The 22,587-nt window shown below is 41.6% G+C and overlaps 1 protein-coding gene and 1 long non-coding RNA gene across 6 annotated transcripts in view, besides 1 other annotated feature; one reads left to right on the top strand and one right to left on the bottom strand.

Annotated features, from left to right (window-relative positions):
* DYNLRB2-AS1 (DYNLRB2 antisense RNA 1) overlaps positions 1 to 22,587 on the top strand; it is a 407,178-nt gene that overhangs the window by 533 nt on the left and 384,058 nt on the right. The gene's annotated exons all lie outside the window — the stretch shown is intronic.
* On the bottom strand, positions 11,792 to 21,869 carry DYNLRB2 (dynein light chain roadblock-type 2). Of its 5 annotated transcripts, NR_130943.2 has the most exons (5): positions 21,524 to 21,610; positions 19,252 to 19,327; positions 14,756 to 14,845; positions 12,952 to 13,119; positions 11,792 to 12,088 (listed from the first exon to the last, which is right to left on the bottom strand). NR_130943.2 is itself a non-coding variant. In NM_001305017.2 (4 exons), the coding sequence occupies exons 1-4, from the start codon at positions 21,836 to 21,838 to the stop codon at positions 12,045 to 12,047; spliced, it is 378 nt and encodes a 125-aa protein (NP_001291946.1). In that variant the 5' UTR covers positions 21,839 to 21,869; the 3' UTR covers positions 11,792 to 12,044. The 5 variants fall into 5 exon arrangements, 3 of the variants coding, with proteins under 3 accessions (NP_001291946.1, XP_006721358.1, NP_570967.1); NR_130942.2 differs by lacking the exon at positions 14,756 to 14,845 and having other exon boundaries at positions 12,952 to 13,660; NM_001305017.2 differs by lacking the exons at positions 14,756 to 14,845; positions 21,524 to 21,610 and adding an exon at positions 21,749 to 21,869.
* Positions 21,470 to 21,559: an enhancer, noted in NCBI's record as "active region_11167". NCBI's record gives its function as "activates an Ori minimal core promoter by ATAC-STARR-seq in GM12878 lymphoblastoid cells {active_cell/tissue: GM12878}" and the evidence as "EXISTENCE:reporter gene assay evidence [ECO:0000049][PMID:35858748]".

Raw genomic sequence — 22,587 nt, 5'->3', positions numbered from 1 at the left:
ATTTGGGTGTTGGGTTCACGAATAGTTTCAGTTTGTTAAAATTGCTCAAGCTAGGTACTTAAGTGATGTGTGCTCTTTATATGCATGTCATGCCTCAATACAAATTTAAATTGAAGAAGAAAAGTGTAAAGGTGGAAAGGGAGAAAATAAAATTGGGCATAATCCCACTCACGCAGAAATCACTGTCATTAGCTCGGCATGATGGTGGGTGCCTGTAATCCCAGCTACTTGGGAGGCTGAGGCGGGAGAATCACTTAAACCTGGGAGGTGGAGGTTGCAGTGAGCTGAGATCCTGCCATTGCACTCACTTCAGCCTGGGTGACAGAGCGAGACTCTGCCCACCCCCACAAAAAAGAAATCACTATGATTAATGTTGTCTTGATGTATATCTTGTAAAATGTTCCCATGTGTGCACACACAAACAAATATGCCCACAAACACATGTGAGGGAGTTTCTGGCTGTGTTGGAGGTGATTATCCTAACCTTGAGCGTGGACCATCTTGTCTTCTGTATTGACAGGAATAGAAAGTACACCAGGGTCAGTGGTCTGGGAAGAGGTGGAAAGGGATAGGTCCAAGAGAACCCAGATGTCCCGAGGATCTGGAAGGTGGAGCTCCCAGTGATGAGTGTTTTCATTTAAAGCATGTGTCCCTATTTGCATCCCCACCACTGCCGATGTGGATTGTGGCCACATTCACAATTCGTTTACTCTTTTATTCAACAGACATTTGCTGAGCACAGACGAAGTGCAGATACTGAACAATGCACAGGGTCTGGGGAGACAGATAGTGAGAAATAAGGCTTAGTTTCTGAACTCAAGAAGCTTTGAGTCAAACAGTGCAGCTCTGAGCAAGATACTGCCCTCATAGGAACCTCGTTTTCCTTATCAGAAAAATGGGATTAATAAGGCCTGCCAGGCTAGGTAATTTTGAAATCAAGTGGGGTGACATTCATAAATAACTATAACAAAGCATAGACTCCTTTACTCTACACTGCGTTGCACACGTGCTCTAGGAACCTGGTTTGAGCCCAGGTTGTGTTCACACTGGGATCCAGGCACATCTAGCCGATGAATAAGCTGTCTCTATCAGAAATACGTTTGCATGCATGTTTAGGAGCTCCCAGGAAAGAACTCACCCTAAGTGAAGAGGAAGTCACGACAAGCAGGCTTAACTTGGTAAGACCACCTTCTCTGAGTGAAAGAACCATTCTGATTAGAGAATGAGGTCTATATCTAGGAAACTTTCTGAAATGTGAAAACTCAAAGAGTAGACTTCCCAAGGTGCCCAAACAGGACTCCCGTCTTCTAATTCCAGACGGACCTTGCAGGTGGCAATCGTGCATGGGAGGACATGGTGGTGGCAGGTGAGTGGGGTTGTATCCTCTAGTTCAGTGGTTCCTGTAGGAAGTGTCTGTGATGTTCAGAACTCAGTAGTTCTGGAAGGAATGGCATTGTCCTGTGGACATGTGAGTGCCAAGGGAAGAGGGTTGGAGGAGGTGTAGGGGAAGGTCATGGAGATGCCACATGGAAAATGGGTGGACTGGCTCACTGGCAGCCTGAGGCTCCCCTGGGAACTCACAAATGCTTGGGGGCATGAAACCTGGCTGGGGAATCAGGATTCCCTACTTTGGGTGGATTTTACAGGAGTCTGCTTTCTCTTTCTTTTAGTCAGGATGGGGGCATACCTTGACTTATATACAATAGTCCTTTTCTTCTCTCAGGGTTCCTGACTGTGGCTGTGGGTGGCCTGGACTTGGCAGTGGAGGGAGATTCATTCAGAGAAGAGCGATGGAGCTGCTATGTTCACCCACTTTCCCAATTATAGCCCCTCTCCTCCAGGGCATTTGCTGGGGGTGGGGGGTGGCGGAATAAAGTCCCCTGACTTGGAGTAGTGCTTCTCAAAGTTTAATGGGAATGAGAAAATCCTAGGAATCGGGTTAAATGCAGATTCTGACTCAGTAGGTCTGGGATAGGGCCTAGGATTCTGCATTTCTGACAAGCTCCCAAGTGGTGCTGGTGCTGCTCTTCCCTGACCACACTTGGAAAAGAAAGACACGAGAAGTGATAATCAGAATCCTGGGAATCTGGATTCTTAAGTACCAGGATTTTTAAGTATCATAACTTGCTGTTATGATCAGGCAAGTGTGGAAAACCCTGGAATAGATCATCTTGAAAAATAAGCTGAGATTTGAAAGGGTGTTTTTAATTCAAGTTTTTATGAAGTATCTACTTGGTGCTGGTTAGATCTGGGAGGGGCTTGGGACACTGTCCAGGTATATTGAGTGCTATGTGACTTTTCATTAAATAAAATTTGTGGGTTTTGGTGGGAGAAAATGCAGGGAGAAGATAGATCCTTGTTTGTAAGTCATTTCCAGATGTGAAGAGAGATGGGGAACCCACACAACTAACTGATTTTGCAGGAGGTGACCATGGTGGTAATTTCAGACACCTCCAAAGAAAGAATGAAGTCATCAGACTTGATGAGGGGAGTAAAACTGGAAGGATCTAGGGTGGCCTGACAGTATCAAAACTTTCAAAAGGCCATCCCAGTTCTGACTTTAACCATTGCAAATGCAGAATTTGTATTGCTTAGTTCAGTGGTTTCCTAAGTCTGCTTGTATAGCCCTGGGGTTCCATGAGACTCTGGTGAGGACCACTGTGTGTTAAGTGTGGAGTGGCCAAGGGCAGGATGAGAGAATGGCATGGAAAAGGAGCCCCGTCCTGCTTCATGGAGAGTAGCTTTGCTGGCCTTTGATCAAGGTTCTGTGTGAGCAAAGGCTACTGTTTCCTAAAGCAAGGTTTGAAAAGCCACTTGCCTAGAGCATGCCCTCCTTTGGGGTTCCTTCTGTCCAGATAGTGCTTTCTCTCTTCTTTCCACCGTAAACTCCTATTCCCCCTTTATAGTCCAGCTCAGGTGTGTCTGTCCTAATGCAGCTTTCCTTAAACACCATGCACACCAGCAGTCCTTTTTCTGCATTTCCACTGTCCCTCACTCATACTTCATGTGCTGCTATTAACTTACTGTATTGAACATGTACATCTCTGCATGCCTGTTTCCCTTATTACACCAGGAGCTCCTTTAGGCAGACCTGACGTCACCCATGTCTGTTCACGGGCATAAAGTGTGCCTGGCTTAAAGCAATTATGGTTAAATGCTTGCAGAATGGGATGCCACCTGGTTAATGGTTCTCTGATTAAGAAGCACACCTTCTTTCCGTTAGAGCCTTAGATGGAGCCAGCGTTTTTATTAATTCAAGATTTCATAAACGGTTAATAATCTCTCTTTGCCTCTCCTGGAAATTGCCAGGTTTGGCAAGAATAGGTAAACATGTCCGATAATATCCCCTTTCCTGTCCTCCTGCCCTCACTGACGGTGTTGTGCTTTTAATTTTTTTTCTTGGCGATACTAGACATTTACTTTCCTCCACTTCCCCTGAGATATGACCGAATACCCAATGCAAAGGTTCAGAGTTGGTGAACAACTTAAAGCTCATATTGAATACAAGATCTGGCTGCTGGCACCATTTGGGGCATTGCAGTCTGATGATTCTTTTCCCAGAGATGTGGGACTTGCTGATACAGGCCTCCCATTTATGCTCCCCAAAGGGTGCAGCTGAGATGGCTGGAGCCTGTTCTGAGAAGCCGGGCCTTCTGCTCTCCTGGCATTGATCAGGAGGCTCCAGATATTTCCTTGAGGCTATTCAAGAAGCAGAAAGTTGTGCAGGAGCAGATACAGAAGGAGGCCTGTGAGAGTCAGTGACCTGCCTTGATTCATTTTGCAATGTGAATTGAGAACTTCAAGCTTTGAAGCTGCTAATTAATTGGTCAGGATCCTGTCTTGAGTATTTTTAGGAGATTTAGCTAACTCTGTCTTCTTCAAAGGCACTGATTACCTTGGTGGACCTTTTTTGCAACCAATCTTGTGATCCAGGGAGCAGTGTTCCTAAAGTAGGAAAATAGGATGGGGATAAACATTGATCATTTAACCCTCAGACACTGGGCACCCACCATGTGCTAGATTTTTCTGCCAGGTACTGGGATAAGAATAAGGCAATGCAGAAGCTTAATGGACTGTCAAAAGCACAACAAGGCCAGGCGTGGTCGCTCACGCCTGTAATCCCACCACTTTGGGAGGCCGAGGCGGGTGTATCACTAGGTCAGGAGATCGAGACCATCTTGGCTAACACGGTGAAACCCCGTCTCTACTAAAAATACAAAAAATTAGCCGGACGTGGTGGTGGGCGCCTGTAGTCCCAGCTACTCGGGAGGCTGAGGCAGGAGAATGGTGTGAACCCAGGAGGCGGAGCTTGCAGTGAGCTGAGATCGCGCCACTGCACTCCAGCCTGGGTGGCAGAGCGAGACTCCGTCTCAAAAAAAAAAAAAAAAAAAAAAAAAAAGCACAACCAATTCACCTTCTCTTGATTGTTGAGTCAATGTAGTTAGTCAATACAGAACAGAAAATCAGTCTGATGGATTGAATTAGTCAACCAATCTAGACAAAATAGAAAAGCTGGCTATATGTATAGGCAGAATGGGGACAGGGGAAGAAGGAATGTTTCAAACTGGTTATAAGTATAGACAGTGGGAGGAGGATAAATCATAGAACAAACTAGTTTTATGTGTAGACATAATGGGATAAAGTGTAGGCTTGGTGAACACACAGAATAGTAGATGTATTCTCGATGGGAAAGTTAATCCTTTTGGCAATTCCAGATATGAGGATGTTCCATGAATGGAATGGTGATCTGAAATCCTGTTGATCCATATGGATGGTTGGTTGCTGGAGATCTGAGGGGCTTTGATGAAAAGATTAGGAGTAACTTCTCTGTCAGGTGAACCCCATCAGATATTGTTAAGTGTCAAAATTATGATATTGATTATATTTACAGTGATAACATAACAGCCATGGTGGTCATCTCTCAGCACTTATTGGTTCTCCAGATAGCATTGATGATGGTGATGATGATAATAGCAATAATTGTTGAACATCTACAAAATGTCAGATGCTTTCTATGATTTTTTTTTAGTCTCCTAACAACCTACAGTGCAGGATTCACGGCCAGTATTTTACAGGTGAGGATTCTGAGGTCAGAGAGGTTAATTTCCTTGCCAGCTGTCTGGTGAATATGCCATGTAAAGGAGTGGCTACCAGTGTGTGCTGGAGTCAAGTATTGGGGTTTGGGTGCCTCCTTTGACATTTAAGAGCTTGATTGACCTTGGGCAATCTGTGAAACTTTTCTATGCCTTGGTGTTCTTATCTGTAAAATGAGACTGTTGTGAGGATTTAATGTGCCTGTCACATAGTAAATGATCAACAAATGTTAGCTGTTGCCGCTGCTGTTCTTCTTGTTATTTTTACTATTGATGGCCGGGCTGTGAGCCAAAGACAGACCTGTCTGGCTATAAAAAAGTGTCCTTTCTTCTGTACCTCACTGCCTTCTGGAAACAGGGGAGAGTAGGAAGTCATGTTATTCCATACTGTACTTTATCCCTTTTTTCTAGTGTGTGGATCTCCACCACTCCAGACGCTCTCGGACACCTGGAGTGCTGCTTCGGAAATGCACCTGCCCAGAGTCCAGGTGGCCCATTCTTTTTGTAGCCAATGACAAAGGCAGATGCCACTCATCAGGTGGAAATAAACTAAAGTCCCTGCTCCCCAGTGAGAGTGACACCTCAGTGTCTCTCTGTCCCCCAGAGTCCACCTCCTGACAGGCCCATTAGTGCCCTGTCCTCCTGACTGGCCATATTGGAAGCTAGGGAGGGAGTGACCATGACCCCATTGCTCAGAGCCTCTGATTAATGCTCACTTCCTGAGCTGGCTCCGCTTCCTCCACTGTGTCTGATTAAAACAGCCAGGGGCGACCCAAATATAGCCCAAAATTGTTGGTTAAAGTCTTTTTGGTTTCAGGCAACAGAAACCTACTCTGGCAGTGTACACAAAATGGAAGACTTATTGTAAGACCTCAGGGCTGCCACATAGAATCCAAGTGCCAAAATGCAGCTGAGGACCAGAAAACTGCAGGGAGCCCCTGGAATGAACACTGTACCTCTCGTTCCATGTCACAATGCACAACTGCAGCATTCTTTTCTTCTCAGAACTGGTTTTTTCTGCTACTCCCATGTGGAGCACACGGCTACCCCCAGCACCTGTGTTTTCCTGCACAGGTCAAGCCACATGGAAATTTTCTCTCTGTCTTCCACATCTAAATACTAAGGAAACATCTCTCATTGGCCTCACCTGGACCACGTCTTTACCACTGACCAACCTGATGAAACTGCATTTGGGTATTACACATCAATATGAATTATGGTTGGGAATGTGGAAATGCTAACCAAATGAAAAGGAAAGGGATTACACAAAACTGTGCCCCACAGGATCACCACTCTGTAAACCTATTAATATTTACAATTAAAGATGAGAAGAGGCCGCAGTGAGATGCATTAAATAGCTTGTATTGTGGTAAACTTGTATTTTGCCACTATTGCTATTATTAATAACAGTAATTGGCATCTATACTGGCCTGTATAGTTCAGAATTCAAGGCTGCTGTGGGTGGACATTCTTCACATTTGTAGACAGGAAAACTGAGGTTCAAAGTTGTTGGCTCTGCTAGTAAGTCATAGAGTCAGGCCCCAGATGTCATGTTCTCTCAGCTGTATCGTATTGTGTCTCAAGTTGTAAAGTTGACCAAAGAGAGAGAATTTTAAAATCAATTCTGTTTGTGGCAGGAGTGTTCTAGGCTGGTGACATCTATAGAGGGAGTCTTGAAACCATATATGCTGAAGGGAAATACAGAATGTAGGTTTCCTGGGGTAAGAAGCCAGGAGGAAGTAAGAAGATTCAGTGTTCTCTTCTATGGGTTCAAGGAATGGCTGGGTGCACGGCTAACCCTCTATGTCAAATCTTGGACAAGAAACATACCAGAGAAGACTTTGAACCTTATGTAGTCCAAACTGCTCAGGGAATGCCTGAGTTTCCATTATTAGAGATGCTTTTATGTTAAGGGAGCCTTCTAGCCCTATGATTCTCAGGATTTGAGAGACCAACTTATATTTGTAAGTCCCCCATTAGAAGAGATTATACCTCTCTGAAAACTGTTATGCCCCACATATGATCCATGTTTTCCTGTGTTTTTGTTTGTTTGTTTTGTTTTGAGACAGAGTTTCACTCTTGTTGCCCAGGCTGGAGTGCAATGGTTCACTGCAACTTCTGCCTCCTTGGTTCAAGCAATTCTCCAGCCTCAGCCTCCTGAGTAGCTGGGATTATAGTCGCCTGCCACCACACCCAGCTAATTTTTGTATTTTTAGTAGAAACGGGGTTTTACCATGTTGGCAGGGCTGGTAACTCCTGACCTCAGGTGATCCATCTGCCTCGGCCTCCCAAAGTGCTGGGATTACAGGCATGAGATACCGCGCCCGGCCTTTCTTGTCTTTTTTTTTCAACAAAGAATATAAGACCAAATATTGGTTGAATGAATATCTATAGGCATTTCACCTACACGTGATAGTTTCCATTTCAAGGACATTACATTATTTTCTAACACGAAAAGAGTGGAGATATTTTGCCCCATATCAAACACAAATTGGGGATAATTGTAATTTTTCAAAGACCAAGAGGGGAGACAAAGTGTCCAGCCTTAGTCTGTAGTAATTTTGGCTTTAGAAGAGAATAGGTAATGTATTTCAAAAGCCAGAACATACCCAGTAAAAGGGTCTGCAGGAGGCACCGCTCTGGAGATCTACGTGGGTTCCTGCTCATCCTCTACTGGGATAGTCCAGCTGTTCAGAGATGAAGATTTGGGAGCTCATAATGCTAATGATGTATAAATTCATTTTCAGCTATTTTATTAAGCTGGTCTTTCCAGGTTCATTATCATTAATATTTATGGTTGCAATATGTTCCTCCAGAGACTCTGCAAATAGCTCTTCTATTGTTCAGGTAAAATTTATAGCAAGTTAGACTAAGAGGGAGCACTATATGAACCCAGGCTTGCACTTCCCATAGGAATTGAAAGCTTTGCTGATGGTTTTGGATGGGTGTGAATCTTCAGTCTATAGGTCCAGCCATCTTTTAGATATAGGTCATTAACTATGCTGTTATGAATCCAAGAGGGAATATGAAGTTGTATGTGCCAGAAGGGAGAGAGGTGCGGTGCAAACTTCCCGAGATCACATCCTCCTTTGTTGTAAGTGGCTCTGGCAAATTCTTCCTTTTGCTGCCACAGTCTCTGCCCCAACGAAGCCTCACAGTTTCCTCTGGATGCAAAGGTACAGGCAGGACTGTGACACAACCACTGTGAGTTTCCTGCCCAGTGGGATAGAAGTGTCTTCCTCCCCTGAAGAGTCCACATAGAGTTCTGGCACTTGCAGCCGTGCCATCTGCACCTGCCAGAGATTTCACACTGCTATGTTGCAAATAGGGCTTGAAATTTCTGGCTGTGTCAGGAGGAAGGAAATGGCTTTACCACTTAGCCATGCATCTGATGACAAGCTCTGGGTGGGCAGGAAACTATGGGAAGAAGACAGATTTGGGTATTAGAATCAAATGTTACCTCTGGAACACTTTAAAACGATGAGCTATTCTGTGCCTCCTAAAAACAATTTTTGGGGATGGTATGGAGGGTTCTCACAAGGGCATGAGCCCCTGATAATGTCATAAGCGCCAGTTTGATTAGCATGGCTAGACCAATACAAGTTCACATACCTGATGTCTTAAAGACACCTGACACCAGGCTCAGGTGAAATCCTCACCTGTAAAACCAAAGGGTCAGATAGATGATCTCTACGGTTCTTTCCAGGTGTGATGATTTGAGACTCTAAAAAGAATGGATTTCCCTTCACTAGTGTATTTCCTTGTCATTTAGATTCTAGCAAGACCTTGTTTATGTTGGAAACTGTTAGCAGACGCCGAAGCTGTCCGGGGCTGAGTGAGTACCACGTTACTCAGGCTTCACTGCGCTGAAGGAAGAGGTTGAGATGAGGGCAGTCACTCACCTGTGATGAAGACCCACTCTGCAGCTTCATTTCCTGTCATTACAGACAGTGCCTGGGCCCAATCAGGAGGGGCTTATGGGGAATGGGGGGCAGGTGGCACTGGGGTGTCTAGGGAGAGCAAATACAAATTGGATACCACCTAGAGGTCGCGAAATGGAGAATAAGTTTCTAAGAACAGCTAAAAAATGAAAGAGACATGACAACCAAATGCAACATGTGACCCTTGATAGGCCCTTAGACTTTTTTTAAAAAAAAGCTATAAAGAACATTATTGGGACCACTGTGTCAATTTGAATATGATTGCATGTTATATGATATTATTGCATTAATATTAAACTTCTTAAGTATGAAATTGGTGTGGTGGTTATGTAAGAGGATTCTTTAATTTTGGAGAAATACCTGCTATTATAGTATCTGCAGCTTTTATATGCTATGTGTGTGTGCATATATATCTATATCTATATATAATATGTACTTACAGAGAGAGATGAAGCAAATGTCATAAAATATTAACAGTTGGTGAATGTGGGTGAAACTTGTATGGTGTTCCTTGTGCTATTCTTTCTAATCTTCCGTAAGTCTGAAGTCTTTTAAAATAAAAAGTATGGGAAAATGGCCCCAAAGTCAGCTATGTGCCATGGCATAGCTTCCCTATCCTACAATCCTTCTGGGTTTATTCATCCCATAGGTTAAGGCAGACACACTCCTGTTATACTTTGGGCTCATCTCCTTATTTGCTCTGTTCTCTCTGCAGACAGAGTCAGCAACCTCCTTATAATTGTGTGGCTTGATGATGTGAGGAACATCAGAGTTATCCCTAAAACTCATTTATATGTGTCTTGGGCTACTCCTCCTCAGCACCCAAGTAACAGCCATTTTTGAGTGACGGCAACAGTGTCGGCAAAAGCAAACATTTATTGAATATTCACTGTGTGCCAGATATTTTATCTGTATCAGTTCACCTGATTCTCATAAACAAACCTCGGTTAGGTTCTCTTATCACCCTGTTTTATATATGAGGCGATGAGGCTCCTACTGCTGACAAGCAGTGGAGTCAGAATTTGAAGAATCTAGGGCCAGTGACTCTAAAACCTGCATTCCTGACCACGGTTGAGCATGTCTCGGCCTGCAGCTGCATTGCAACTACCTAGAGAACATTTGCAAAATTTACACGTGCAGGCACTGCTCCCAGGAGTATGGAGTTATGCAGTGGGGCTCAGACATCTGTTGCATACAAAGGTTTGGCTGTTTGGCTTCAGTCTCCCTTGTCTCCCTCAGCCTTGGGTAAGTTTCCTCCATGACCTGTCTCCTCTCCCATCACCACTTGGGAGAGTAAATCCCTTTAACCTTAGGGATTTGGTGTGGCTCTTCCTTTCTGCTGATACCACCGTCTGTCTGGGTTGGCTCTGATAGTCTCACAGGGTACAAGTTGGGGCCAGTGGTGTGGCTGAACTAATAAACTTACCAGGCATCATTCTCATACTTGGCTTCATGTGGAGCTGTGGCAGAAACTTAGGTGAAAGTGCCTGTGGACCCTTGCATTGGGTAACCTGTGCCTCCTGACAAGAATCTTCTGGGGAAGGAGGACAGAGGCACAAGGAGGAGGAGCAGGCTTCAGCTGTATCTGCAATGTTTCATTTCTGATTTTTTGGATGAATCTCAAGAGAATGATGCAGAGGGAAAAAGTCAATCCCTAAAGGTTACATACTGTATTTTTCCGCTTACTTTTTTTTTTTGAGGAGGACAGAGTCTAACTCTGTTGTTGCTCAGGCTGGAGTGAAGTGGTGCGATCTCAGCTCACTGCAACCTCCACCTCCCAGGTTCAAACGATTCTCCTGCCTCAGCCTCCTGAGTAGCTGGGATTACAGGCACGCGCCACCATGACTGGCTAGTTTTTGTGTTTTTAGTTGAGATGGGGTTTTACCATGTTGGCCAGGCTGGTCTCGAACTCCTGATCTCAGGTGATCTGCTTGCCTCGGCCTCCCAAAATGCTGAGATTACAGGCGGGAGCCACTGTGCCTGGCCTACATAACATTTTTGATATTTAAAAATTATATAAACAGAGGACAGCTTAGTGGCTGTCAGGGGTCAAGGGTTGGAGGGAGGTGCTACCAAAGGGCATCTGAGGAATCCTGCCGAGATATTCTGTATCTTGATTGAGTCACTGTCAATTTCCTGGTTGTGATACTGTCCTAGGGTTTTGGAGGATGTTGCAACAGGGGGAAACTGTATAAAGGGCACACAGAATCACTATATTATTTCTGAAAATTTCACATGAAACTTCAGTTATCTCAAAATGCAAAGTTTAGTTGGAATAAAAGAGGATATAAAGCAAATGTGGCAAAATATTAATATCTCTTCTCTATGGGTTTGGGGTGCATGGAAATCTATTAGATTTGTTATATTATTTTCACGATTTTCTGAATGTTTGCAACATCCAGTAAAAATAAAACCCTCTGGAGTTACCTACTCAGCCTTATATGTATGAAACCTTGCCTAAGACTCATTCCTGGTCCCATCAGACTGGTGTGCTAGAAGCACAAGTCCGAGGGATGGAGGAGCTGCTTAGGTTGGCACTGATCCCAGTGGGAACCACGCTTCGGACTCTCTACTGTCCTTATTTAACCTGGGAAACCACTGAACACTCTTTGAGTATTGGGACTTTCTACTCTCCTTATAGCTCCCATAATGGTCTACTGAATCTCCTTGGTATACCATAGAAATGGGCGAAATTCTACTTCTGTACTTGATGACAGCTACTTCTAGACTAAAATAATTATCACAAGGAGCGCTGTCTTAGTAGAATCCTTGGTTTTGTGTATTATAAGACAATAGAGACGTATATACCAGAATTCACTTATTGTATCACTAAAGTACAACTTCACAATATAATCAAAAGGGACTAAATGAGACATGCAGAACAGTTTAGATATAGAAATAGAAAAGAATGTTTGAAGGGTCAGTTAGATTGAAATAGAATTTTAATACTCATGAGAGAGCCAAGTGTTTCCAACCCAGTGTCGCTTAAACAGCCTTGGCCATCGCAGGTCTATTCACATGGATTCTGAATGACGATCAGAAGATATTCCTTATCTATGGAGAGATGGATAAAATCAATTCACCCTTAATTTAAATTTAATCAAGGAATATTTCAACTAGTCTTCTTTTTTCTTCAAAACATCACAGGGACCTTGTGCAGACAGATGGTTTCCCACCCTATCTGCACGTATGAATTACCTGTTCAGTCTTTAGAAAATACCCATTTCCTAGGGCCTCAGAGATTCTGATTTCATTGGTTTGGGGTGCAGTCCCAGGAATGGAAAAAATTTTAAAATGTCCTCCAAGTGATTGGATGTGTAGCCAGGGTGAGGACACTGGTGTAGGAAAAAACTTTATTCAGTTTATAAGCAATTCTGATTTGATGGATTTGCTGTTACAGAGGTTTGTTCTAGATTAGTTTAGTGGCATAGGTCCCATTGTACAGTCATTTTGTAATATTGCGAACCTAATTCCTTCAGGGAAAGGAGTGTTTCTGTGGCTGATGTCTTCTGGTAGACCTGGGGGATGTACTTTCCTCACAGCCATGGTTTAAGAACCTACAGGCCTTGGGTTCACTGCCTACTTTATCCCCAGGACAGGGAACATTTCTCCCATTCTGCAGAGTCTGTATGCTAAGTTTGCTGAAAATGAGACGTACATTTTCTAAATTTTTTCATTACTGATAATAAATGCAAGTGGGCAAAATTCAACCTGTTCAAAAGTCATGGGTCATATTAATTGCTAATTTCATACAATTTTTTTGGTTGGGATTTTTACATTCAAACATCATTTTGTAATAGAAGAATATTATGTTTTATATTCTATACTAAAATCTGTACTTACCATTCATAGAAACAAGGCTTTTAATCTAGCAAATTAGAAAGATGATTTAACTAGGAAATGAAATGCCAAATTACCTGGAGCTACCATGATTTCATGTTTCTTTGATCTGATCCTAAGAAAAGTCAGGTCGTTCTGAGGATCAATATCACGAACTGTGCTTTTGGCTTTCATTGTCAGGTGATGAAGAAGGCCTGCATATTGAACAGTTGTTGAGTTGTCCAAGGTTGTTCGGATGGGAATACCTATTATGAAATTTAATTTTGGTTAATATTTTTTCTGATTAGAAAAGTAATAAGTACAGTGTGGAAGTATTGGAAAACACTGATAGTTGTAAAGAAGAGAAAAAAGTGATGGCTTATCCCTCTCTGGTAACAATTTTAGTTTATTTCCCTCAAATCCTTTTGTCGCTACGTAGATTTTTAAGTATAGTTGTGTGAAACTATATTTACAAACTTGACTGTTGCTTTTTTCTTCACAAAATTATAACATACAAGTTGTCCTTGTTGACAATGTCATCAACATTATTTTTAATAACTGCATACTTCACTATTTTATGGACATATAATCAATCTCCTATTGTTTGGTCATTTGGTACCTTATATTTTTTATAGCTAATGGGGTGATGATGAACATTTTTGTGCATAAATCTTTCAGAAGCCATTAACTGACTACTTGAGTACTAAGTTAACATATTTTTATATGAAATGCACTCCCCTGAACATCTTGTCTATAGTGAGTCTGCTCTGAAGTTCTTGCTCTGTGACATGGTGTTAGTCTTCTTCCCTGAGGCCACAAACATAAAGGGATATCACTGCACATGCTAGAGGGTACATCAAAAGGGACTCCTCACACAGTATTTCACAAATCTTAAGTTTTATGTTAGAAAATGTGGTAATAAGGATATTGTAGTTTTGCTGTGCATTCCGTGGTTTGCACCCATTTTTGGCTTTATCACTATTAAATTTGGCTACTTGGGTGCTCTATTTTTTTTTTTTTTTTGAGACGGAGTCTTGCTATTGTAGGCCCCCCAGGCTGGAGTGCGACGGCATGATCTTGGCTCATTGCAACCTCTGCCTCCTGGGTTCCAGCAATTCTCCTGCCTCAGTTTCCCGAGTAGCTGAGATTAGAGGAACCCACCACCACGCCCGGCTAATTGTTGTATTTTTAGTAGAGACAGGGTTTCACCATGTTGGTTAGGCTGAACTCCTGACCTCAGGTAATCCACCCGCCTCATGCCTCCCACAGTGCTGGGTTTACAGGCGTGAGCCACCATGCCCAGTCTGCTCTATTGTTCTGTTACATGAGTTTAAAACAGAAACTATTAAGTGGAAAATTCTAGCCAGAAGAATATGCAAGTGTAATTCAATTCAGTTGAAATCAATCTAACTCAACTTGGAACACCCAGCATTAATGCCTATTATGTACCAGGCACTGTGCTAGGTATTTTATATATATCGTATCTAATCCGAGATAGCCTTCATATTATTTTAAGAACTACTAGATAGCCAGGGATTTGATTTGCAAATGTGCTTTTATTTTAGGAGGAGATATGAAGGTGAATTTGGAATTGCTATCAAATTCCTTAGGTATCCGTATTAAGGGCACTCAAGAAATGAGCCTAACATGGCTCCTGGTTTCCTTCAGAGAATGTGGGTCCAGAAACGATTAAACGAGACAAGCGCTTTCAAGAATGGAAGAGTGTTACAAACTTAGGATTTTACCAGGTTTTCATAAAAATCTTGAAGACCATCAATTTTGACTTTGAAGACTGATTTCTCTTTCTTTTAAGATAACTGCTATGTCCAGAATGTTTTGCTAAACAGTATGAGGATAATATTTACAGGAAAACCTATTCAATAAATAAAGCATAATAAAAACCTTGCTAATCTTTTATTGTGATTTGTTGGCCACTTTTTCTCTGGAAGGCAGTCAGCTGTCTTGCATACTTGAAGGTCACAAAGCGTGGATCTTTAACAAGCAGAAAATGGAAACGTAGCAAGCATGCAACCTTTGATGGGAACTTTTTGACGAGCAGTTTTATTTTGCATCCTAAGTAGTGACTACCTACTAAGGGTGCAATGCTCAGTAGGAAAACAAGAAATACAACCAGAATAAATTATTTAAAATGTAGATGACAGGATTATGAATCAGATGCTCAGGTCTATTTAGTCTGTTCATGATCCAAGTCAATAAATAAAACAGCTAGCCTTTTTGAATAAGTGTGCACGGTGGAAACACATGGAGTTTTTCATATCCGCCATACACACTTGGAAAAAATCAATCAACAAATATTTATTGAACTCTTGCTTGGCACCATGTGAGGTAATTAAAAAAATTATTGAGAAGTAATTTTAGCACATGGTATAAAATTTACCCACTTCCCTTCTGAGAAACAACCACTGGTTTCTTAGAAGCCTTCTAGAGACATTCTAGGTCTATTCAAGAATGTATGTGTTTGTGTTTGTAATCTTCATCTTAATGATACCATTGTCTATTCTGTACCTTGATTTTTAAATTTAATACTCTTTGGAAATTGTTTGATTCAGTACACATAAGTCACTCATCAGTGACTGAATAACAGTCGGTTGAATGGGTGTTTTGTAATATACTTAATATGTCCTGCTGATGAGCATTTAGGCTGTTCCCAATCTTTTACTTTTGTAAACAAGGCTACAGAATATGTCCTTGGTCATCTCATTTCACATTTATACATTTATATGTATGTGTAGGATAAATTCCTAAACTGAAGCTCCTAGAACAAAGAGCATGTGCATTCTAAAATCTGATGGCACTACTTTACAATATGACTCCCTGTGATCCTAGTAAGCCAGCACTCATTATTTCAATTTGTCATCTTCAACTGCACATTTGTGCTTTGGTTGATAGATTGTATTTCAAAATAAAAGGAATTGGCTGGATGGCTGTTACAATCTAATGAAACTCAAATGATAGATTGTTAGAAATGTCAGGAATATTTAAAATTAAGAGCCTGTAGAAATCAGACTTATATACATAAGAAAATACGACAGATCTGACTGCCCGGGTGACAAATATACATATTTGCCAGTATCTAATTCAATGATCAGTGTTGCAATATTGTAAACAATGAATGGTTTTATAAATGAGAAACCAATGCTAACAAAAATCTACTCTAATAAAAACGTGTAGCATTGGGCTAAATTGGGAAGACTACTTTACGGTCATCAATAGGAAGTCTGTGTTTCAGTAACAGTGAAACCGAAGGACTATATATAAAATGGCATATGATGATATCTAAATGAATAAGCATGGTAGAAGTCTGACCTAACCACAAATATAATCTGAAAATGCTAAAATGATTTGCCTTGATTTAGCAGACCAAAACCGCTAGTAGAAAACAAGAATACATAAAACACCATCTTAGTTAAATATTTTGGTATTAAATTTCATGGGACTTCCCAAAGCTGAAAAGCTACAAAGCTGCACTGAAATAAATGATGCTTTCATCTAAAATTGAGGAGGTTGTTGAAATTGAGTATTTTATTACATTCTGGTCACGTAGCTTACACCATATGCCATTAATAAACACCCTTGTTATATACTCTGGTTATTAACAATCGAACCATAAAAATAAGCCCCTCATTTATATTTTAGGGAAAAAAGGTTAATTTGGCTTTCAGGTAAAAACTCTTAAGTACCCAGAAACCTTGAAAAGTGTCCTGAATTCTAATACAAACTTATCCTATTAGAGGTTAATTAGAAGTTAATGGGTATTGAAGGCTGGGCGTGGTGGCTCACGCCTGTAATCCCAGCACTTTGGGAGGCCGAGGTGGGTGGATCACAAGGTCAGGAGATCGAAACCATGGTGAAACCCCATCTCTACTAAAAAAAAAAAAACAAAAAATTAGCCAGGCGTGGTGGCGGGTGCCTGTAGTCCCAGCTACTTGGGAGGCTGAGGCAGGAGAATGGCGTGAACCAGGGAGGCAGAGCTGCAGAGCTTGCTGTGAGCTGAGATCCTGCCACTGCACTCAAGCCTGGATGACAGAGAGAGACTCCATCTCAAAAAAAAAAAAAAAAAAAGAAGCTAATGGGTACTGAAAATAATATTTTGTTGCCTTCGGATAAGAGAAGTGTTAATTGAGGAACCTCAGGAAAATAAAGTGAAAATCACTTTTCATCTCACTACCCAGGGTGATCACTGTAACATATCCCTACCCTTCCTTTCCTATTTATTTGAAGTGTATGTGTGCACCTGGCCATAAATAGGATTAGAACATGCCGGTGACCGCTTTGTTCTCTGCTTTTTTCATCTAATACTGTGAGTAGTTTCCCAAGACACTAAACAGTCTTCAACCTTTTAAATAGAGTAATGTTCATCAAGTAAAATTAGTTACTTTAAAAATTCCCCTACTGTTAGGATACATTTATTTACTTATTTTTTCTGTTTATTTATTTATTGCTATTATATATGATGCCTCAGTGAGTATCCTCATACCTAGATATTTTCTTCATCACTCTTTAGGATAAATTGCTAGGAGTAAAATTATAGATCAAAGGGGGTGAATATTTTTCAGACCTTTGAGGCATATCACCAGGATTACCTACTTTAGACCAAGATCTTCCAAAGAATCACATTAGATGAGTGGTTCTGGCTGTCACAGGTGAATGCACCTGTACAGGGTTGAAGAGTGTCCCCCTAGACCCCCCAAATCCCCAAATTCAAGTCCAATATAAACCTCAGAAGGTGGCCTTATTTGGAAACGGGTCTTTGCACATATAATTAGTTAAGATGAGGTCACATTGGATTCGGGTAGGCCCTAATCCAATAACTGGGGTTCTTATAATGAAACAGACAGACAGACACAAAGATGAGAATGCTACGTGATGATGGCGGCAGAGATCGGAGTGATGTGTCTATAGGCCAAGGAACACTAAAGATTGACAACTACCAGAAGCTAGGAAGAGGTAAGGAATGGTCCTCCCACAGAGTCTTCAGAGACAGCATGAGCCTTCGGACATCTTGATTTCAACTTCTAACCTCCAGAACTGGAAGAGAATACGTTTCTGTTGTTTTAAGTTAACAGGCATGTTGTAGTTTGTTACTGTAGCCAAAGGAAACTAACACACCATCTCTATGAAATCACATGGACGGCTCATCTTCGGAGCTGTGGCAGAGTGTATGCAAATACCTGGAAATAAAATCAATGCAACCAGATCCACGTACTAGGGCTGGAATGCTTCCTGGAAATATTACGCATAGTTTGTGACTTACCTGGAAGGCAGATCTTAAATCCTCTCTTCCCCCTGATTATTCAAGCTCGAAAATTTATTATGTTCTATTATCTCTCTCACTCATTTGGCCTTGAGTTGCTGGTTATAAAACAAATGTTTTAACTGTATAAATGAATTAAAAATCCTCACATTCTCATAACTATTTAATTACTATCAAGTATTGGGTATTATGCCAAGCACTCAACAATTATTGTCTCATTTAACAATGAAAACCCCCAGTAAAATAGGTTATTGTCCATTCTTAGTGGTAAGGAGTTGTAGTTCAGAATTTAAGCAGACTTTCAGTTGGTAGTTGCTTAATAAATATTTACTGATGGATTTTTCCAAGGCACTGAGTTGGTAATAGGCCAATTCCATGGTTGCACCACAAATTATGTAAAGTAGCTACTCTTATTTTAACTAATGCTCTGGAATTTCTGGCACTCCTTGCCCTTACAAATGTCTGAATTAGCAATGAAACTAGCATGAACTCTTAAGAGGTTGCCACCATAGCTGAGCGTGGAGCAATGTGCCAAAGTAAATGTGATGTGGATTCTTAACAAGGATCGTGCAGCAAGAGCAAGTTTCTGGTAAGTCTACAGATTTCATAGTTGGAAATATGTAGGGCCTTCTTATGCTATATCCACAAAGACTATATTATAAATGATATCGTTAATTCTCAAAGATTTTTAAATAAAATATGTTCAAGGAACAAGTTCCATTTAAAATAAACACTGAAATTCTGTATGGTTCATAATGTTGAAACGCAAACAACCCACCAACAATGATATTCTCCCTATCTTCTATATGATAGTTTTATTGGCACTTCTGAAATGTTGGAAGAGAATTACCAAAGCTTTAAAAAGTAAACAATGTATAGTGCTTCTTAGGAGTATATAGAGATTTTTAGACATGTCTTATTCATATTTATGCCCCCAGATCTTAGCAGAGTGTTTGGCATATAACAGATACTCAATAGATGTTTGGTAAGTGAATGCCAGAGCTAAAATATATAAATATATTTTTGATGTCAAATTCGAAGATGTTTGTCTTAAGGACTAACACGGCAAACAGGTTCCTGGTTGGCTTCTGTGTGTCAAGAAGACAGCCTGTGATATATTTACCTTCTGCATTTACAACCATAGTTCCAATAACCCCTTTATGACTCTGGATCCTCTTTAAGGTTTCCTCCACCTCTGCCTGAAAGAGACCAGGAAGATAATTAACCAAAAGGGCCCTGTGGTAACTTCAACCCTAAGGAGAATAATGTTTAGCAAGATACCTACTCTCCTATCTCCTTAACCTAAGGTGCCAGGTGTGATAATCTCAGATTTTTAAAAGACAGCTTAGAAATTGTCAAGTCCCACATAAATACCTACGTAAGACCTCCTGGATACAATCCTGATGAATCTCTTGGCTTGAACCCTTGTAGAGACAGAGAGCTTACTGCCTCACAGGAGTTCACTCCATTTTTATCTGTTTCCATTTACTAGAAAAGTATTCTTTACATTGCATGGAAATTTGTCCCAGATTATCTTTCATTCATTGACCCTGCTGTATTCAAATGAAAATTCCTTTTCTACATTACAGTGCTTTAAATATTTATAGAGCTATATCATGGCCTCCCTCTGTCTAAAAGTAGTCCTTATTGAGAAATCTTATTTTCATTAATGTGACCTAATCAGTTCGGATGATTAAATTTAAAGGATAGTCTATAAAAACAAAGTATTCCAGGATTCTAGGATTTTCTTGATAACTATAGCTTGCGTCTCAGTGCAAGCTGAATGTTCAACTATGAGTGATTATTCTGGAATCTATTATTGTGTTTTAAACTCATTCGGAATCTTATGTGTAGAGTGTATTGTATGTTTTCTTCCCCTGTAGAAAACTCAAAGACAAGAACGATCTTTTCCAAACCTGCAAATTTTTCATGACTGAGCAATCACTGGATATTTTGAATTCTGCAAATTCTCTTGATGAGGGTTTGCTATATTCTTTTTTCCTCAGTATTGCACAGGTGAACATTTTGTTACTTCAAGATAGTTTTCCTTTGTACTTGGTATGGGCAGGAGCACTTATTTTCTCTATTTCAGCATCAGAGCCAAGGTTTTCTTGACTTTAGGCATTTGTGTACTAGATTCATGATTCTTGCCATTATGAATGCCATGTATACTATTTATCTAGGTGTTCTTTAAATTATCTCACTGCTAAAAGCTTAAATAAATGCATTTTAAGAGGAAATCGTATGTCACTACCACAAATGGAAACCTGACGTTATTCCTCATAAATAGAAATAACTGTAAAACAAACAAAATGAACAAAATGAAGAGAGAGCCTATCATTAAATTCTACTGCAATGAAAGCTCTGAGCCTGAGGCCTGCTCTTCGGATGAAAAAATGGAAATTTCCAAATGACAGTGGTATTAAGGACCTAATAGCAACAGAAATTTTCTCCTGTATGTAGTCTGAAGGTTGAACAAAATGGAAGAGGAATAACTTTCTCACGATGTGATTCACTCTTATTTAGCATTTCTCGGCCATCTTATGTAGCAACGAATGTTTGCATCTGACTTTGAGAAACACTACACTAAACCGTAAGCGTTGAACAGGGGATCAATAATTCACTGCATTTTGGGCAATCTTTAAGACGATGTCCACAGCTTCTTACAGCCACTGTGTCCTTATTTATCTTTCTCCCTTTACTTATCTCCCAAACTCCTTTCTTTTCTTTCCCTGGCCTTTCCATTTCTCCACCCAGTTGTTTCTCTTCTCATGATTTGTAAGTGCTCCTAGTATAATTTCTTAATCCCCATCTCCAATCCCCGTTTCATTCTTCTCTTAACGCCCTTTGCTTTCCACAGTCTCTACTTTTTTTTTTCTTACCTCTTTTTCTGGGGGGGAGGGGGGCGGGTCTCCCATCACTTCTTTCCTTTTTCTTTATTTCCCTTTCTTCTTTCTCAGTATCTTCCCTTCTCACCCTTCCATTCCCTTGCTTTCCCTGTCCCACCTCTTCCTTCTCTCTAAGGGTCTGATTTTTTTTCCTCTCCATCTCGGCCTCCCGCCCCCTCTTTGGAAACTTTCCTGGCTCCCCGGATTTCTCACTCCCCTGAGCATTCTTCATCCTCTGAATCTCTCTCTTCCCTTTCTCAACATCACCCCTCCTTATGTACCATCCCCGCGAAATCAATTCCCAAAACAGCTTCCAGTCATCTAGACATCTTCTTGCCCCTTTCCAAGGTCTCCCTCTCGCCCCTCCAGGAAGATCCTGGAGCCACCAGCCTCCGCCGCGGCCCCTGGACCGCCCGTGCCTGGGTGGGCCCCAGAAGCTGGGTGCGAAGGTCCTTGACGGTCGGCGTGCTTGGAACGGCGGGGCGTGGACGGAGACCCCAGATTTACCATCGCGGAGGCCGCGAAACTCTGGGCTCAGGCCGGCGGCACAGCCTCCCGGGATGTCAACAACGCTACCCGCCGTTGCTAGGAGACAAAAAAGGAAGTGGCCCCACGGAAGCGTCAGGGCTGCGCCTGCGCGCTCGCGAGTCGGCTTTTTCGCCCTGACCGCGCTCCTGATGCCTCCCGGCCGCCGTAGGCGAAGGTTCGCGGAAGAGGGGAGCAGGCGCTCACCTGAGGTTCGCCCAATCCTGGAGCAGTGGGTCCCGGGAGGGAAGAGGGAAGTGGGTCAGGCTCCCGGCCTGTGTTTGTCCATTCATTCATTCATTGAGGCACGAATTAATGTGATAACCACTTATTCGTTCAAAAACTGCTGATTCACCACCCACCAGGTGCCAGGGAGACGGACAAAATGCACCAAACAAAATGCACGAAACAGTACCGGAAGCAGTAATGTCCACGTGTGATACTTGCCCTGGAGCAAGTAAGGAGGGGACAGGACCATCTGACTTCGGGGTTGGGCTGCTCTAGGGGTTTGGTGATAGTCTTAGCTGCCTGTGACCGTCCATTAGTACTGCCCTGTTCAGGGCAGATACTGTTCGCTCGCCTCCCAGTAGTTTTTATATTGAAGAAAAATATATCAGAGCATCAAATAGTACAACCTTATGTACTTAAAAAAATTACTTTCTATCTGTCTACTCTAAGATCAGTAGAGTAAGCACAGTTGCACATTTTATGTTCTCACCTAGTTATAGCACCCTCTTCCTGTTCTCAACTCCATTGAAGAGTTGCTACTTGTCAGTATTTCTGTTAGTTGTCAGTATCCATTAGGATCTGTATTTTTGCCATTTTAAAAATCAACAGTTCTGAGTTACTAAAAAATTGCAAATGGTAGTTCCGGAGGTTCTATACGTTGCCATAGAAGAGCATTCCATTGGGTGTTTAAGGAACTGTTGGAGGAAACACGTTAAAGATCAGTTAGGAATGATCAGAAGTCACTTGACCTTTTGAGGGACATTGATAATATCCTTATAGCCTAGGAGGAAAAGAGCCACTATTGTACGACGAAGCAC

The sequence above is a fragment of the Homo sapiens genome, chromosome 16 (genome assembly GCF_000001405.40).
Source record: "Homo sapiens chromosome 16, GRCh38.p14 Primary Assembly".
NCBI classification, from domain to species: Eukaryota; Metazoa; Chordata; class Mammalia; order Primates; family Hominidae; genus Homo; species Homo sapiens.
Note: the sequence above shows the minus strand (reverse complement) of the source record. Positions and strands in the feature narration are given on the sequence as shown.

What these genes read in the sequence shown, in the direction of transcription:
- DYNLRB2 (NM_001305017.2), bottom strand. Translation starts at nt 21,838, where the DNA reads ATGAATGAATGGACAAACACAGGCCGGGAGCCTGACCCACTTCCCTCT. An exon ending in CAGGATTGGGCGAACCTCAG is followed by an intron (nt 19,328 to 21,748) that starts GTGAGCGCCTGC and finishes GGTCTCTTTCAG; the next exon opens with GCAGAGGTGGAGGAAACCTT. An exon ending in TATGGTTGTAAATGCAGAAG is followed by an intron (nt 13,120 to 19,251) that starts GTAAATATATCA and finishes ATTTCATAATAG; the next exon opens with GTATTCCCATCCGAACAACC.